An 18744-nucleotide genomic window follows, 5' to 3' on the forward strand; every position below is an offset into this window, starting at 1 on the left:
CCTGTATTCTGATCCTTTGACATCTGGAGACTTGCTGACCCTAAAGGGTCTGCTCCTTCAAGAATTTGCCCGTTCCTAGAGATAGTAAACAACTGGTCCAGGGAGTATGCCTTTCAAGTGCAAACCAATGAATCCAAAGCTCACACCCCAAACACCTCCTTTACGGAGCTCTCACACTGAAGTGTAAGTCTTTTTGGATATAAAATTATGGGTTGATAGTCTTTTTCTTTCATTTTCTTTGAATATGTCAACTCACTACCTTCTGTCCTCCACAATTTCTCGTAAGAGGTCAGCTGTTAACTTTATTGAGGATCACTTGTATGTGATGTGTTACTTTTTTTCTTCTTGAAAAGACAGAATTGAAAATATTCTGTCTTTTCTTTGGTTTTTGACAGTTTGACTGTGATGTGCCTAGGCATGGATCTTTTTGAGTTTATCCTACCTGGAGTTCTTCAAGATTTCTGGATGTGCGATTAATACTTTTCATCAAATTTGAGAAATTCTCCACATTATTTATTCAGATTATCTTACATCCCTTTTTAAGATCACTTCTGTTTTTCTGAGTCTTCCATTAGAAATATTTCGGTGTGCTTGATGACCTTCCACAAGTTTCTGAGACTCTCTTCATTCTTTTCACATTCCTTTTTTTAATTGTTCAGACTAATCTGAATTGATTTATCTTCAAGTTACCTGATTATTTCTGCCAGTGCAGATATACTGTTGAGCCCTTCTAGTGATTTTTTTAAAATTAGTTGTTGCACTTTTCAACTCCAGAATTTTAATTTGTTTTTTTTCATAATTTCTATCTCTCTATTGATATTCTCTGGTGATACATCATTCTTATACTTTCACTTAAGTCTTGAGACATGGTTTCTTTTAGTTCTTTGATAGTATTTATAATAATTTATTTAAAGCCTTTGCGTACTTCTCTCAAGATAAGGGAGTAGAGAGCCTAGAGTTCAAACTCAACCTGGATTGAAGTCCCCTTCTTTGACTTCCATTGCCATTACATCTGGCAAGTAGTTTAATCAAGCTGAGAATCTGTTTTACCATCTGTAACATGGGACTATGATTCCATCTTTCATAGTTTTACATGACATTATCCATAGCACTTACTGCCGTCTCCGATAAACCAAGGTACTATCCCCTCCCCCAAACTCCTCATCTCCCTCAGAATACATGTATTCAGTATCTTCTTGGCATGGAGGGAAGCAAAGACTAACAATGTGTGGCTCCTCATCTCACAGAGATCTGCCATTAGCAAACAGTTGCATGCCAACGGCATGAGATATGTCAAGGTGGAGGGGTGGGAAGCAGGAAAGGGGGCACCTAACTTGGTCAGGGAAGTTTTTTAGTGTATAATGCATATCCTGGCTCTGGGGAGTTGCCTAGGTGAAATGCCAAGGAGAGAGGCCTGAAGCACACAGTATTTGGAGGGAACTGCAGGGGGGTTGCCATGACTGGAATGCAGTCACATCCAGGGCAAGGGCAAGGGCAGGGGCAGGGGCATAGCAGGGGTCATTCAGACAGGAAGGGCCTAATACTGCAAGCCAGGAAGTTTGGTCTTTTCTCATTCCTGGGAAATCTCTTTAGCTAATGACGGTACTTCTAGACATCCTTACCCTGCCCTGAAAGAGGGAAGAAGGAGAGACCTGACACAGACTGAATAATGTGCAGGTATGTGAGTGCCAGGAAGGACTGGATTAGGTTGTAGCAAGCACCATTGTTCCAATTTGTTCCATTCTTCCAATTTGTTCCATTCTTCCAAACTGACAGGTGTCATGGGAGAGAATTCTCAAATGATACAAATAGATTAATATTTTCGTTTAGCTAGAGCTAAGCCTGAGTTTACTTACTGATATTTTCTTCTGGCTATAGAACTGCCTTAAGGTTAATAAAGTCTTTTTTCTTTTTTTTTGGGTTTTACTTTTCTGTCTGTTTTAGGAAATATTTCTCTAAAAGGGCATTTTCACTTAGCATTCATGTTTTTTCCCATATCCTGTAAATGAAGGAAGTCAAAGGAAATCAAAATATAAACTTGGATGCAAAATCAGATTTAAATTTCTAGATTAAAAAATAACTGTTTTCACGCCCTTTCTCTGTAGTTAACTTGTGTTTTTCCAATGAAAACATTAAATACAACCAGGCATTATTTTGAGCTTAATTTCAGCAGATGTTTCATTATTCCTTGTGCAAAGGGAAATGTGATCACAGGGCTTTCTTTGGGTCTCAGCAGTTACTTACACCAACTTATACTATAGTTCATGACGTAGTGACTGATGAGTAGTTCAGTATGGAATGAATGATGTCATGTCTTCAGGTTTTCTGATCTTAATTCCTGCCAAAGAAAAGATGAAGTGTATATACTAGCTGAGGATATTATTCTGTCCAGTCCATTTTCCCATGTAGGTGGGCTGTCAGACCAACAGGAGATTTACTGTGATTCAATGACACACGCCTCTGGGACCTTTCATTTCTCTGTAGCTGCATCCTATGCTAGAAGGCAGTGAGGGTTATTCTAATTTGAGAAGCAGATACCTTTGGGAGAGGCAGATTGTATTTAGAAAACCCCCAAATAGGAACATTATAGAACACAGTGCTTGAATATGGCCCAATTAAGTTAGATCTTTTGGTTTAGCCAAGGGCTTCAAGTGTATAGAACTGTTTGCAATTTGGAATGCCAGTCACTTAAAATTTAAATAAATGTAGGCTTGTGATTTGAGTTCAACTTTGAAAACTGCATGGACTTTAGGGCTATCCTTTAAAAATAGTTTTTATTATGCATGGAGGAAAATCTTTAGTCAGCATGAGTTCTTCTTATAATCAATCTTTGAACAGCAGAGTGGGATGGCAAACAGGTTAGGAACATAAATTCAGGAGCCAAACGTCTTCAACTTGTAGCCGTTTACTTGCCCAGTGACAGTGGTCAACTTAATTTAACTGTCTTTCGACTCAATTTCTCTCAATTAAAGAAGAGAAAATATAGTAACTATAAAAGGGTTCTTGAGAGACTTTAGAGCAGAGCCTGCCAAAATAACACATTCCACAAAAAATGATAGCTACTATCATTATTATTAATGATTATCATCATCATTAACATCACTGAGACCTGTATAGTTGTCTAATGGAGATAGTGTTTTCAGAGGTTGTGATGATGTGTAGAAATTATGTCTGAATTATCTAGAATTATTTTTTAATTTTTAAAAACAATTTCAAGTGTTATTAGCATGAAGAGAATAATAATAAACAGTGCTTACTGAGTACCAAGCATTATATGTGTATGCTATAATATATATAAAATATATAGAAAAAACTGAACCCAGTACAGTTGTATATCTTGAAAAGGTGACTGCAGCTGTCACACACCATAGATGCTTGAAGCTATTATTTAAGATATTTTTGTATCTCTGCATAGTTGGGCCTGGAGTTTCATTTATGAAATAGAGACAACTGATGAATTTTTTCTAATCTTCCAGCTTTATTTTTAGAAATCATATTATTTTTCATTTGCTTTTTTCTCCTAATGTGAATAGCATAAATAGTGCTTCTGATTATAAAGTTAATGAATACTTACATAGAGAAATGTAAAGACTATTATTGTCTTAATAATTCCAACAGTCTCTATACGCTTTCGGTCTGATTTTTCTTTCTTTCTTTTTTTTAAAGATCATTGTCTCTTACTGTATTTATGTCAAATGGAAAAAATGTAAATATTTCTTTATTATTATTATTATTATACTTTAAGTTTTAGGGTACATGTGCACAATGTGCAGGTTAGTTACATATGTATACATGTGCCATGTTGGTATGCTGCACCCATTAACTCGTCATTTAGCATTAGTTATATCTCCTAATGCTATCCCTCCCCCCTCCCCCCATCCCACAACAGTCCCCAGAGTGTGATGTTCCCCTTCCTGTGTCCATGTGTTCTCATTGTTCAATTCCCACCTATGAATGAGAACATGCGGTGTTTGGTTTTTTGTCCTTGCGATAGTTTACTGAGAATGATGATTTCCAATTTCATCCATGTCCCTACAAAGGACATGAACTCATCATTTTTTATGGCTGCATAGTATTCCATGGTGTATATGTGCCACATTTTCTTAATCCAGTCTATCATTGTTGGACATTTGGCTTGGTTCCAAGTCTTTGCTATTGTGAATAGTGCTGCAATAAATATACGTCTGTATGTGTCTTTATAGCAGCATGATTTATAGTCCTTTGGGTATATACCCAGTAATGGGATGGCTGGGTCAAATGGCATTTCTAGTTCTAGATCCCTGAGGAATCGCCACACTGACTTCCACAATGGTTGAACTAGTTTACAGTCCCCCCAACAGTGTAAAAGTGTTCCTATTTCTCCATATCCTCTCCAGCACCTGTTGTTTCCTGACTTTTTAATGATTGCCATCCTAACTGGTGTGAGATGATATCTCATTGTGGTTTTGATTTGCATTTCTCTGATGGCCAGTGATGGTGAGCATTTTTTCATATGTTTTTTGGCTGCATAAATATCTTCTTTTGAGAAGTGTCTGTTCATGTCTTTTGCCCACTTTTTGATGGGGTTGTTTGTTTTTTTCTTGTACATTTGTTTGTGTTCATTGTAGATTCTGGATATTAGCCCTTTGTCAGATGAGTAGGTTGTGAAAATTTTCTCCCATTTTGTAGGTTGCCTGTTCACTCTGATGGTAGTTTCTTTTGCTGTGCAGAAGCTCCTTAGTTTAATGAGATCCCATTTGTCAATTTTGGCTTTTGTTGCCATTGCTTTTGGTGTTTTAGACATGAAGTCCTTGCCCATGCCTGTGTCCTGAATGGTAATGCCTAGGTTTTCTTCTAGGATTTTTATGGTTTTAGGTCTAACGTTTAAGTCTTTAATCCATCTTGAATTGATTTTGGTATAAGGTGTAAGGAAGGGATCCAGTTTCAGCTTTCTACATATGGCTAGCCAGTTTTCCCAGCACCATTTATTAAATAGGGAATCTTTTCCCCATTGCTTATTTTTCTCAGGTTTGTCAAAGATCAGATAGTTGTAGATATGTGGCGTTATTTCTGAGGGCTCTGTTCTGTTCCATTGATCTATATCTCTGTTTTGGTACCAGTACCATGCTGTTTTGGTTACTGTAGCCTTGTAGTATAGTTTGAAGTCAGGTAGTGTGATGCCTCCAGCTTTGTTCTTTTGGCTTAGGATTGACTTGGTGATGTGGGCCCTTTTTTGGTTCCATATGAACTTTAAAGTAGTTTTTTCTAATTCTGTGAAGAAAGGCATTGGTAGCTTGATGGGAATGGCATTGAATCTGTAAATTACCTTGGGCAGTATGGCCATTTTCATGATATTGATTCTTCCTACCCATGAGCATGGAATGTTCTTCCATTTGTTTGTATCCTCTTTTATTTCCTTGAGCAGTGGTTTGTAGTTCTCCTTGAAGAGGTCCTTCACATCCCTTGTAAGTTGGATTCCTAGGTATTTTATTCTCTTTGAAGCAATTGTGAATGGGAGTTCACTCATGATTTGGCTCTCTGTTTGTCTGTTGTTGGCGTATAAGAATGCTTGTGATTTTTGTACATTGATTTTGTATCCTGAAGACATTGCTGAAGTTGCTTATCAGCTTAAGGAGATTTTGGGCTGAGACAATGGGGTTTTCTAGATATACAATCATGTCATCTGCAAACAGGGACAATTTGACTTCCTCTTTTCCTAATTGAATACCCTTTATTTCCTTCTCCTGCCTAATTGCCTGGGCCAGAACTTCCAACACTATGTTGAATAGGAGTGGTGAGAGAGGGCATCCCTGTCTTCTGCCAGTTTTCAAAGGGAATGCTTCCAGTTTTTGCCCATTCAGTATGATATTGGCTGTGGGTTTGTCATAGATAACTCTTATTATTTTGAGATACGTCCCATCAATACCTAATTTATTGAGAGTTTTTAGTATGAAGGGTTGTTGAATTGTGTCAAAGGCCTTTTCTGCATCTTTTGAGATAATCATGCGGTTTTTGTCTTTGGTTCTGTTTATATGCTGGATTACATTTATTGATTTGCATATATTGAACCAGCCTTGCATCCCAGGGATGAAGCCCACTTTATCATGGTGGATAAGCTTTTTGATGTGCTGCTGGATTCGGTTTACCAGTATTTTATTGAGGATTTTTGCATCAATGTTCATTAAGGATATTGGTCTAAAATTCTCTTTTTTGGTTGTGTCTCTGCCCGGCTTTGGTATCAGGATGATGCTGGCCTCATAAAATGAGTAAGGGAAGATTCCCTCTTTTTCTATTGATTGGAATAGTTTCAGAAGGAATGGTACCAGTTCCTCCTTGCACCTCAGGTAGAATTCGGCTGTGAATCCATCTGGTCCTGGACTCTTTTTGGTTGGTAAGCTATTGATTATTGCCACAATTTCGGATACTGTTATTGGTCTATTCAGAGATTCAACTTCTTCCTGGTTTAGTCTTGGGAGGGTGTATGTGTCCAGGAATTTATCCATTTCTTCTAGATTTTCTAATTTATTTGTGTAAAGGTGTTTGTAGTATTCTCTGATGGTAGTTTGTATTTCTGTGGGATCAGTGGTGATAGGCCTTTATCATTTTTTATTGCATCTATTTGATTCTTCTCTCTTTTCTTCTTTCTTAGTCTTGCTAGTGGTCTATCAATTTTGTTGATCCTTTCAAAAAAGCAGCTCCTGGATTCCTTAATTTTTTGAAGGGTTTTTTGTGTCTCTATTTCCTTCAGTTCTGCTCTGATTTTAGTTATTTCTTGCCTTCTGCTAGCTTTTGAATGTGTTTGCTCTTGCTTTTCTAGTTCTTTTAATTGTGATGTTAGGGTGTCAATTTTGGATCTTTCCTGCTTTCTCTTGTGGGCATTTAGTGCTATAAATTTCCCTCTACATCCTGCTTTGAATGCGTCCCAGAGATTCTGGTATGTTGTGTCTTTGTTCTCGTTGGTTTCAAAGAACATCTTTATTTCTGCCTTCATTTTGTTATGTACCCAGTAGTCATTCAGGAGCAGGTTGTTCAGTTTCCATGTAGTTGAGCAGTTTTGAGTGAGTTTCTTAATCCTGAGTTCTAGTTTGATTGCACTGTGGTCTGAGAGACAGTTTGTTATAATTTCTGTTCTTTTACATTTGCTGAGGAGAGCTTTACTTCCAACTATGTGGTCAATTTTGGAATAGGTGTGGTGTGGTGCTGAAAAAAATGTATATTCTGTTGATTTGGGGTGGAGAGTTCTGTAGATGTCTATTAGGTGCACTTGGTGCAGAGCTGAGTTCAATTCCTGGGTATCCTTGTTGACTTTCTGTCTTGTTGATCTGTCTAATGTTGACAGTGGGGTGTTAATGTCTCCCATTATTATTGTGTGGGAGTCTAAGTCTCTTTGTAGGTCACTCAGGACTTGCTTTATGAATCTGGGTGCTCCTGTATTGGGTGCATATATATTTAGGATAGTTAGCTCTTCTTGTTGAATTGATCCCTTTACCATTACATAATGGCCTTTTTTGTCTCTTTTGATCTTTGTTGGTTTAAAGTCTGTTTTATCAGAGACTAGCATTGCAACCCCTGCCTTTTTTTGTTTTCCATTTGCTTGGTAGATCTTCTTCCATCGTTTTATTTTGAACCTATGTGTGTCTGTCCACGTGAGATGGGTTTCCTGAATACAGCACACTGTTGGGTCTTGACTCTTTATCCAATTTGCCAGTCTGTGTCTTTTAATTGGAGCATTTAGCCCATTTACATTTAAAGTTAATACTGTTATGTGTGAATTTGATCCTGTCATTATGATGTTAGCTGGTTATTTTGCTCATTCGTTCATGCAGTTTCTTCCTAGCCTCGATGGTCTTTACATTTTGGCATGATTTTGCAGTGGTTGGTACCGGTTGTTCCTTTCCATGTTTAGTGCTTCCTTCAGGAGCTCTTTTAGGGCAGGCCTGGTGGTGACAAAATCTCTCAGCATTTGCTTGTCTGTAAAGGATTTTATTTCTCCTTCATTTATGAAGCTTAGTTTGGCTGGATATGAAATTCTGGTTTGAAAATTCTTTTCTTTAAGAATGTTGAATATTGGCCCCCACTCTCTTCTGGCTTGTAGAGTTTCTGCCGAGAGATCTGCTGTTAGTCTGATGGGTTTCCCTTTGAGGGTAACCCGACTTTTCTCTCTGGCTGCCCTTAACATTTTTTCCTTCATTTCAACTTTGGTGAATCTGACAATTATGTGTCTTGGAGTTGCTCTTCTCGAGGAGTATCTTTGTGGTGTTCTCTGTATTTCCTGAATCTGAATGTTGGCCTGCCTTGCTAGATTGGGGAAGTTCTCCTGGATAATATCCTGCAGAGTGTTTTCCAACTTGGTTTGATTCTCCCCGTCGCTTTCAGGTACACCAATCAGACATAGATTTGGTCTTTTCACATAGTCCCATATTTCTTGGAGGCTTTGCTTGTTTCTTTTTATTCTTTTTTCTCTAAACTTCCCTTCTCGCTTCATTTCATTCATTTGATCTTCCATCACTGATACCCTTTCTTCCAGTTGATCGCATCAGCTCCAGAGGCTTCTGCATTCTTCACATAGTTCTCGAGCCTTGGTTTTCAGCTCCACCAGCTCCTTTAAGCACTTCTCTGTATTGGTTGTTCTAGTTATACATTCTTCTAAATTTTTTTCAAAGTTTTCAACTTGTTTGCCTTTGGTTTGAATGTCCTCCCGTAGCTCAGAGTAATTTGATCGTCTGAAGCCTTCTTCTCTCAGCTCGTCAAAGTCATTCTCCGTCCAGCTTTGTTCCATTGCTGGTGAGGAACTGCGTTCCTTTGGAGGAGGAGAGGCGCTCTGCTTTTTAGAGTTTCCAGTTTTTCTGCTCTGTTTTTTCCCCATCTTTGTGGTTTTATCTACTTTTGGTCTTTGATGATGGTGATGTGCAGATGGGTTTTTGGTGTGGATGTCCTTTCTGTTTGTTAGTTTTCCTTCTAACAGACAGGACCCTCAGCTGCAGGTCTGTTGGAGTTTGCTAGAGGTCCACTCCAGACCTTGTTTGCCTGGGTAACAGCAGCGGTGGCTGCAGAACAGCGGATTTTCATGTACCGTGAATGCTGCTGTCTGATCGTTCCTCTGGAAGTTTTGTCTCAGAGGAGTACCCGGCCATGTGAGGTGTCAGTCTGCCCCTACTGGGGGGTACCTCCCAGTTAGGCTGCTCGGGGGTCAGGGGTCAGGGACCCACTTGAGGAGGCAGTCTGCCCATTCTCAGATCTCCAGCTGCGTGCTGGGAGAACCACTGCTCTCTTCAAAGCTGTCAGACAGGGACATATAAGTCTGCAGAGGTTACTGCTGTCTTTTTGTTTGTCTGTGCCCTGCCCCCAGAGGTGGAGCCTACAGAGGCAGGCAGGCCTCCTTGAGCTGTGGTGGGCTCCACCCAGTTCGAGCTTCCCGGCTGCTTTGTTTACCTAAGCAAGCCTGGGCAATGGCAGGCGCCCCTCCCCCAGCCTCGCTGCCACCTTGCAGTTTGATCTCAGACTGCTGTGCTAGCAATCAGCGAGACTCCGTGGGCGTAGGACCCTCCGAGCCATATGCGGGATATAATCTCCTGGTGTGCCGTTTTTTAGGCCTGTCGGAGAAGCGCAGTATTAGGGTGGGAGTGACCCGATTTTCCAGGTGCTGTCTGTCACCCCTTTCTTTGACTAGGAAAGGGAACTCCCTGACCCTTTGTGCTTCCCGAGTGAGGCAATGCCTCGCCCTGCTTCAGCTCGAGCACAGTGCGCTGCACCCACTGCCCTGTGCCCACTGTCTGGCACTCACTAGTGAGATGAAGCCGGTACCTCAGATGGAAATGCAGAAATCACCCATCTTCTGCGTCACTCATGCTGGGAGCTGTAGACCAGAGCTGTTCCTATTCGGCCATCTTAGGTCTGATTTTTCAACAGTATGCGCCTGGTACTTTCAGAAGGTGTTGAATGAACATTTTTGAAAATACAAATGTATATATATACACAGAGGTGTATATATATATACATTTGTATGTATAGACATGTACATATATATCTTTTTTGCTTCTATTTACTCACCAGCAAATAATAGTTTCTAGCTCCTTATGTCTATGACAATGAATTGGATCAATATACATAAATTTGTATTTTTTGTAGCAAATTGACTTTGATGAAAAATACTACAACTTCTTTTAAAATATTGTTTGGGCTGGACACAGTGGCTCACACCTGTAATCCCAGCACTTTGGGAGGCTGAGGTAGGTGGATCATGAGGTGAAGAGATAGAGACCATTCTGGCCAACATGGTGAAACCTCGTCTCTACTAAAAATACAAAAAAAAAAAAAAAAATAGCTGGGCATGGTGGCGCACGCCTGTAGTCCCAGCTACTTGGGAGGCTGAGGCAGGAGAATCACTTGAACCTGGGAGGCGGAGGTTGCAGTGAGCCAAGATCGCACCACTGCACTCCAGCCTGGCAACAGAGCGAGACTCTGTCTCAAAAAAATAATAATTTTATATATATCTATATATCTATGTATATAGATATATATGTAGAGGGAGAGAGTTTGATATGTTTTTGTGTATTTTATTCTTTGAGTTCTTTAGTTTTAAATATGAAGAACATAAAGTCAGTTGTTATCCTTTCTTATTCTAACTTGAGAGTCATTTTGGGGAAATGTTTTTATTTCATTTATATAATAGCTCTTATAAATTACCTGTTGGTCTTATTTGTTTGTCTTATTTTTTTCTGCAAATCCCAACATCTGGGTTATCTCAGGGTCTGTTTCCTTTTTCTTTGACCTTGGGTGACTTTTTTTTTTCTATTTCCTCACATGTCTAGCAATTGTTGATGGTATATTGAACATTGTGGAGGATATAGTACAGAGACTCTGGTTTCTGTAGTTTTCTTTCTCCTAAAGTGTATTGAGTTTTCTTTTTTAAGGCAGTTAAATCATCTTCATTGTATAGAGCTTCATTTTACATTTTGTTAGAAAGGAGCTCTTTCAGATTTTGTCGTTAGACTTATGGTGAATATCTTAATCCTGGGACATAGTGTGTACTCATAAAATGTGGTTCTTCTCTGGTTTCATAGGAAAGCTTGAGATATTTATTAAGACCCTCTAACTTGTTGGCCTTCAACTCCACACTCTTCTTTCCTGTGAAGGGCAGCAGCTGAAATCTCTGCTCAGATTTTTCACGGTTCACTGGCCTCCTTGGCATCTCTCCCACACACACACACAGGTCTGGGATCAGACAAGGATTTGAAGGAAATTTGTAGGTAGATTTTTTAGCTCTTCTCTGGGACTCCTTTCTTTCTGGGTTCCCACTACCACCTCAATTTCCAGCCACCCTGGCAACACTGAACTTCATTCTCTGATACTTCATGACTTCTAGCCACACAAACTGGTGACTGTTTTCATTGAAGAAGCCTTATAAATATGGATCTTACCCAGTGCATATGGTTCCCCTTTTTATTATTATTATTTTTTTAATTTTATTATTATTATACTTTAAATTTTAGGGTACATGTGCACAACGTGCAGGTTTGTTACATATGTATACATGTGCCATGCTGCTGTGCTGCACCCATTAACTCGTCATTTATCATTAGGTATATTTCCTAATGCTATCCCTTCCCACTCCCCCCAGGGTCAAATTCCTCAAATATTTGTCATCTTTTGGCTTCTCTCTAGTGCCTTCAATTACTTATTTTATATTTTTCCATAGTTTATAATTGTTATCTGCAGAAGGGCTAATGTACGCAATCTAGTTTTCCATTGCTGGAAATCACTTGGAATAACTCAGTTTTAAAGCTGCATTTTAAACTTTGTTGATGTTGTATAAAAAATGATAAAAGCTGCATAATTTTCTAAGGAGTAGGCATTCTCAAATTTATTCAGCCATTTCTTCATTGAGAAAAATTCAACTTTGTTTTTATATTTCTTTCCAGTGAAAACAATGCTGATGCTAAGAGGCCTCCCTGGAACCAGACAGCTTGGTTCATTTCATATTACTATCTCCTACTTCATAAATGTGTTAGCTTCAACAAGTTACTTGGTCTTTTTTTGCTTCTATTTACTCATCTGCAAATAATAATTCTTTCTAGCTCCTTAGGTCTGTGACAATTAAATGGATCAATACACATAAATATTTAAGCAGTTCTTTACCCATAGAATGCAATAAATGGTAGCACATTTTGTTGTTATTATTTATCCCAGGTGTTCTGAAATTTTCTTTGATTGATATATTTTGATGTCATATTTCATTCATTGTGTTGGAGACTCAGTGGGTCCTTTTAATCTGGAAATTAGCATTTCTCAGTTTGAGGAATTTTTGCATAATTTTAAAAATAATTTATTCTTCTCAATCCTCTCTGTTGTCTCTTTCTATATCTCTTTTAACTTTCTTCTTTTTACTATTTTCTCTTTGTTTGTTTTGGGGAAGTTGCCTCAATTTTATCTTCCAAGCTTTCTATTGAATTATTTATTGTCATTATGTTTTCAACTTCCATAAGTTTATTCTTGTTCACTAACTATTTTTTTAATTTAGCATCCTGTTTCTTTTTCATGGATAAAATCAGTATCTTCTGACATACCTAGATATCATAGGATTGTTTTAGGTTTTCTTCAACTCTGAGCATTACACCCATTTCTTCTGTTATCCTGTTTGTTAGTTTTGTTCTTTGTCTTTCAAGTTGGAGTTTTCCTCAAATATCTGATAATCTTGGGCTGTTTACTCATATTTAAGAATAAGCAATAAAATGCTGATTGGAGGCACCTTAACAAGTGGGGAGATTGGGGTTCACCATAGAATAAAGCAAGCTGTTTCCTTGCTGCTCCCCAGTTGTGAAAATTACCAGTTAGTAATATCTCCAGGGCTTTCATTTAAACGTATCAGTTTTTTCCTCAAAGAAATGTTTTAGTCTGCTGCTCAGGTATAACCTAAATGCCACTATCTTGGGAAACAAGTACGGACAGTGAGTCAGAGGCCTCAATGTTCTTGATGTCGATTTTTAATGAATCTTCCTATTTTTAGTGTGACATTACACTGCTCAGCTATGCCTAGTGTCTTTAAATCCAGAGCCTCTCTAGCCCAGTCTCTCCTGAGAGGAAGTTACCTTTCTGCTTCACCCTTTATCTTCATTTTTGGAGGACCCTGGTGACTCCTGATATTTTAACCTTTTTAGCTCTTACCGAACAAATAGCCATTATCTTGTTGCATTTCTACTCTGTAAGCTTAGATTTCAGTTTTTTTCACTATACCAAGTCAGTTTTCCTTCCTACGTACTTCCATCTTTTAAAATTTTGTTGACATTCTTCTTCTTCTTGTCTTTTTTTCTCGTTTCTTCGTCCCTGAGCATTTTTTTAAATGACTTTTGAGGGTTTTTTTCCCATCTTTTTTCTAGAGTTTTGAGAGACAGCATAGGAAATGAATGTTTTAATCCAATACATTTTACTAGAAGTATTTTTGTTAAAATTAATCCTTAGCATTTTATAATATTTAATCTGATTTATGAATATTAAACCTGATATGTGAACATGCTCCCTTTTTTCTTGTTAGCTTTTTTTTAGTGAGCTGTAGTATAATGAGTGATGCACTGAAGTCATCCTTTGCAATTTGAAGACCCATGGGTTTATGATCATGAAAGGTGGAAGTGGTTGGTGTTTTGCATGTTAATTCTTTTCCCTGTGGCCTAGTTTCAGTTTAGATGCTCAGAGCAGATTTGATCCTCTCCAAAATATCCTTCCCTTTTGCATCTCATCAAAGGATATATTAGGCTTGTACGTTGGGCAACTTTGCATGTCCAGCTGGACACAAATCTTATCACCAGTCTTAAGATAGTTTGCAAAGGTGGGTATCAAAATAGAGATTTAGAACCCACAAATGACATTTAAAATTATTTTAAATATTATTTTAATTTGTCTATTTTTGTCAGAACACAATTATGCATCATTTCTGGCTGACTGATTAATATGACTTTGAATAATTTTAACTAGGCTCAGTTTTCCTCAGTGGCTAAGAGCATGGTCTTTGGAGGCAGTTAAGCTGGATGATCTTGGGCATGTTATTTACTTTCTCACAGCTTAAATTTTCTTCTTTGTAAAAGAACGTTAATAATAGTACCTGCTTCCTAATGTTATGAGGAATACATTAGTTAAATATGCAATGTGCTTAAAACAGTGTGTGACTTCTAATAAATATGGTATGTTTGCTATTACATACTTTGAATTAGGAATACAGGGTTGGACAATCCAAGGACCATAATCATATAACCCTCCCCACTGCACCTGCCCCCCCTCCGCATTAATATAGCAGAAGAGTATATCTGTTAATGGCAGATCAGACAATTGGGATATCCTTTCACTGAGGACATCTATAAAAGCTGAATAAAATATGAGAGAAAAATAAAAAATATGTCTCTTTAAAGCCATTGTAGAGATAAAAAGATACTGAAGAGTCATTGGGCCAGAGCCCATTATGGGGCACAATGATCCAAGAATGTGAGAACAGCATTTGAGGCCAGTTTTTTCCTCAACTGCACTTTGAGGAAACAGCACTTTTGACAGTTCCTTGGAGATAGGGAGATAGGAATTAGAGGCCTGGCAAGGGGAGAGATCCTATTGACAAACCCTCACTTTGGGTTGAAATCTCAAAAAGTCTTACCTGTTAAGTAAGAGTGAACTGGATGTGGAAGGCCTGTGCAGGAACTGCAGCTTAGCTTCAAATTGTCCCAATCCTGAAATTGCTAATGCATGCAAGCTTGCTGGTACCGTCAGCACCTGACGGAAACAAACATACATCCTCTCTAGAGGAAAATAACCGTGTACAAGTGTAGATGAGAAGAAATAAACATAAAGGAACAGAAGAAATGGAAAACATAACAGACCTACAGAGTCCCCAGATACTGAGTTATCAGACACAGATTTAAAAATAACTATATGTTACTACATTTAAGGAGATAAAGGAAAAGATTAGGAATTTAGGGAGAAAAACCAGGACCACTAAAAAATAATAAAGCAGAAAATGTATCATATAATAAAGCAGCACATCTACCCACTAAATCTAAAAGTTGAAATTATATAAAAAAAGAAAATTTAGAGTTGAAAAATGCAAAAAAAACTTAAATATGTGTTTAATGGCAGATTTAATATACATGAAGAGAAAATAAATAAAAAAAGAATTTCTTATCTAGGTCAGAAAAATATCCAGAATGATGTATGAGAAAACAAAAGGATATAAAACCAGAAGATAGACTATCTGACCTGAACAATACAGTAAGAAAGTCCAACTAATGTGTGTGATTGGAGCCACAGGAAGAAAAACAGATTCAAAAAGAGTTATTATTCGAAGACAAGGTACCTGAGAATTTTCCAAAGCTGATGAAAGTTTATGAAATCTACAGATTGAAGATGCTGTCTCTATAAACTCTCTACAAATCAGGACAAAAATATAACACAAAACAAATTCTAGTCACGTTATATTAAAACTGAAAATCAAAGCAGAATCCTTAAAAGCAACCAGAGAACAAAAGGCAGACAATGGATTGTAGCTGATATCTGACTAGAAACCAGTAGAATATCTGGAAGACCATGGAATACTATCCTAAAGTGCTAAAAGGAAACAGCATCTACTTAGAATTTCAGAACAAGCAAAACCACCCTTAAGAAATGAGAGGGAGAGATCACAATTCAGACAAGATGGCATGGACTTGTCCCTCCCTGCTCCTCCCTGCTGCTTAAAGTTATAAACCCAAGAAAGAAAACACAATTGTGATGGTTAATGTTTTGTGTTAAGTTGGCTGGGCCACAGTGCTCAGATATGTGGCTGAACATTATTTTGGATATTCTATGAGGGTGATTTTTGGAGAAGATTAACATTTAATGGTTGGACTTTGAGTAAAGCAGATTACCCTCCACAATGTGGATGGGCCCCCATCCAGTTAGTTGAAGGACTTAATATAAAACACTGACCTCACACAAGCAAGAAGTTCTGCCAGATGACTGCTTTTGAACTCAAACTGCAAGGTGTATGTATATAATAGAAACATATATTTTGTTTCTCCCATTTTATCCAAATGAAAACATACCATACCTACTTTTCTGCATCTTGCTTTTTGTACTTAACCCTTTAAATATGTAAGTTCTTGAAGAACTTTCCATATTCGCTCATAAATAATTTTTCTTCCTTTTTTTCCTTAACAGCCACATATTTTTCCATTGTATGGCTATACAGTCATTATTATTTTTTTTTTTTGCATGAATGTAAGTGCATTGTCTTTGTAGGGTAAATTCCTAGAGGTGGAACCACTAAAAATCAAAGAAAATGAATCTCAATCCATGTCTCTCTCTCCCTCCCTCCCCCCACCCCCCTTCTCCCTCCCTATCATAATGATATTGACAAATTGCCCTCTATAGAGGTGGTATAAATTTACATTCCTAATAGCAATGTATGAAAGTGCCTATTTCCTCATAGACTTACCAGCATGATATGATACAAGCTTTTCAATCTTTTCAAAGCCAATAGGTTAAATAACAAAAAGTCCTTCAGTCTGCACTTATCTTTTTATATATTTGATAGATTTATGAGCCATTTATAGTTCTTTTTGTGAACTCTATTTCCTTTGCTATTTTTCTCTTTGTCTATTTTTATATTGGGTTTTTGCTGTTTTTAAAAAAACTCCAGTTGTTGAAATTTTTATATTGGGGGAAATCATTCTTTTGTCTTTGATGTGAAAAGACAATTTTTGAATATTGGCCCCCACTCTCTTCTGGCTTGTAGAGTTTCTGCCGAGAGATCCGCTGTTAGTCTGATGGGCTTCCCTTTGAGGGTAACCCAACCTTTCTCTCTGGCTGCCCTTAACATTTTTTCCTTCATTTCAACTTTGGTGAATCTGACAATTATGTGTCTTGGAGTTGCTCTTCTCGCGGAGTATCTTTCTGGCGTTCTCTGTATTTCCTGAATCTGAATGTTGGCCTGCCTTGCTAGATTGGGGAAGTTCTCCTGGATAATATCCCGCAGAGTGTTTTCCAACTTGGTTCCATTCTCCCCGTCGCTTTCAGGTACACCAATCAGACATAGATTTGGTCTTTTCACATAGTCCCATATTTCTTGGAGGCTTTGCTTGTTTCTTTTTATTCTTTTTTCTCTAAACTTCCCTTCTCACTTCATTTGATTCATTTGATCTTCCATCACTGATACCCTATCTTCCAGTTGATCGCATTGGCTCCTGAGGCTTCTACATTCTTCACGTAGTTCTCAAGCCTTGGTTTTCAGCTCCATCAGCTCCTTTAAGCACTTCTCTGTGTTGGTTATTCTAGTTATACATTCTTCTAAATTTTTTTCAAAGTTTTCAACTTGTTTGCCTTTGGTTTGAATGTCCTCCCGTAGCTGGGAGTAATTTGATCATCTGAAGCCTTCTTCTCTCAGCTCATCAAAGTCATTCTCTGTCCAGCTTTGTTCCATTGCTGGTGAGGAACTGCGTTCCAATTTTCAACCCAGAATTTCATATCCAGCCAAACTAAGCTTCATAAGTGAAGGAGAAATAAAATACTTTACAGACAAGCAAATGCTGAGAGATTTTGTCACCACCAGGCCTGCCCTAAAAGAGCTCCTGAAGGAAGCACTAAACATGGAAAGGAACAACCGGTACCAGCCACTGCAAAATCATGCCAAAATATAAAGACCATCGAGACTAGGAAGAAACTGCATCAACTAACGAGCAAACTAACCAGCTAACATCATAATGACAGGATCAAATTCACACATAACAATATTAACTTTAAATGTAAATGGACTAAATGCTCCAATTAAAAGACACAGACTGGCAAATTGGATAAAGAGTCAAGACCCATCAGTGTGCTGTATTCAGGAAACCCATCTCACGTGCAGAGACACACATAGGCTCAAAATAAAAGGATGGAGGAAGATCTACCAAGCAAATGGAAAACAAAAAAAGGCAGGGGTTGCAATCCTAGTCTCTGATAAAACAGATTTTAAACCAACAAAGATCAAAAGAGACAAAAAAGGCCATTATGTAATGGTAAAGGGATCAATTCAACAAGAAGAGCTAACTATCCTAAATATATATGCACCCAATACAGGAGCATCCAGATTCATAAAGCAAGTCCTGAGTGACCTACAAAGAGACTTAGACTCCCACACATTAATAATGGGAGACTTTAACACCCCACTGTCAACATTAGACAGATCAACGAGACAGAAAGTCAACAAGGATACCCAGGAATTGAACTCAGCTTTGCACCAAGCGCACCTAATAGACATCTACAGAACTCTCCACCCCAAATCAACAGAATATACATTGTTTTCAGCACCACACCACACCTATTCCAAAATTGACCACATAGTTGGAAGTAAAGCTCTCCTCAGCAAATGTAAAAGAACAGAAATTATAACAAACTGTCTCTCAGACCACAGTGCAATCAAACTAGAACTCAGGATTAAGAATCTCACTCAAAACCACTCAACTACATGGAAACTGAACAACCTGCTCCTGAATGACTACTGGGTACATAACAAAATGAAGGCAGAAATAAAGATGTTCTTTGAAACCAACGAGAACAAAGACACAACATACCAGAATCTCTGGGACGCATTCAAAGCAGGGTGTAGAGGGAAATTTGTAGCACTAAATGCCCACAAGAGAAAGCAGGAAAGATCCAAAATTGACACCCTAACATCACAATTAAAAGAACTAGAAAAGCAAGAGCAAACACATTCAAAAGCTAGCAGAAGGCAAGAAATAACTAAAATCAGAGCAGAACTGAAGGAAATAG

The 18744-nt window shown here is 38.0% G+C and overlaps 1 protein-coding gene across 6 annotated transcripts in view, besides 2 other annotated features; it reads left to right on the forward strand.

The window, feature by feature from the left end:
- MYRIP (myosin VIIA and Rab interacting protein) overlaps positions 1 to 18744 on the forward strand; it is a 451408-nt gene that overhangs the window by 59704 nt on the left and 372960 nt on the right. The gene's annotated exons all lie outside the window — the stretch shown is intronic.
- Positions 9005 to 9506: an enhancer, noted in NCBI's record as "H3K4me1 hESC enhancer chr3:39919113-39919614 (GRCh37/hg19 assembly coordinates)". NCBI's record gives its function as "activates a minimal SCP1, AML or CMV promoter by ChIP-STARR-seq in naive H9 embryonic stem cells {active_cell/tissue: H9 hESC(naive)}" and the evidence as "EXISTENCE:reporter gene assay evidence [ECO:0000049][PMID:30033119]".
- Positions 9507 to 10006: an enhancer, noted in NCBI's record as "H3K4me1 hESC enhancer chr3:39919615-39920114 (GRCh37/hg19 assembly coordinates)". NCBI's record gives its function as "activates a minimal SCP1, AML or CMV promoter by ChIP-STARR-seq in naive H9 embryonic stem cells {active_cell/tissue: H9 hESC(naive)}" and the evidence as "EXISTENCE:reporter gene assay evidence [ECO:0000049][PMID:30033119]".

The sequence above is a fragment of the Homo sapiens genome, chromosome 3 (genome assembly GCF_000001405.40).
Source record: "Homo sapiens chromosome 3, GRCh38.p14 Primary Assembly".
NCBI lineage: Eukaryota > Metazoa > Chordata > Mammalia > Primates > Hominidae > Homo > Homo sapiens.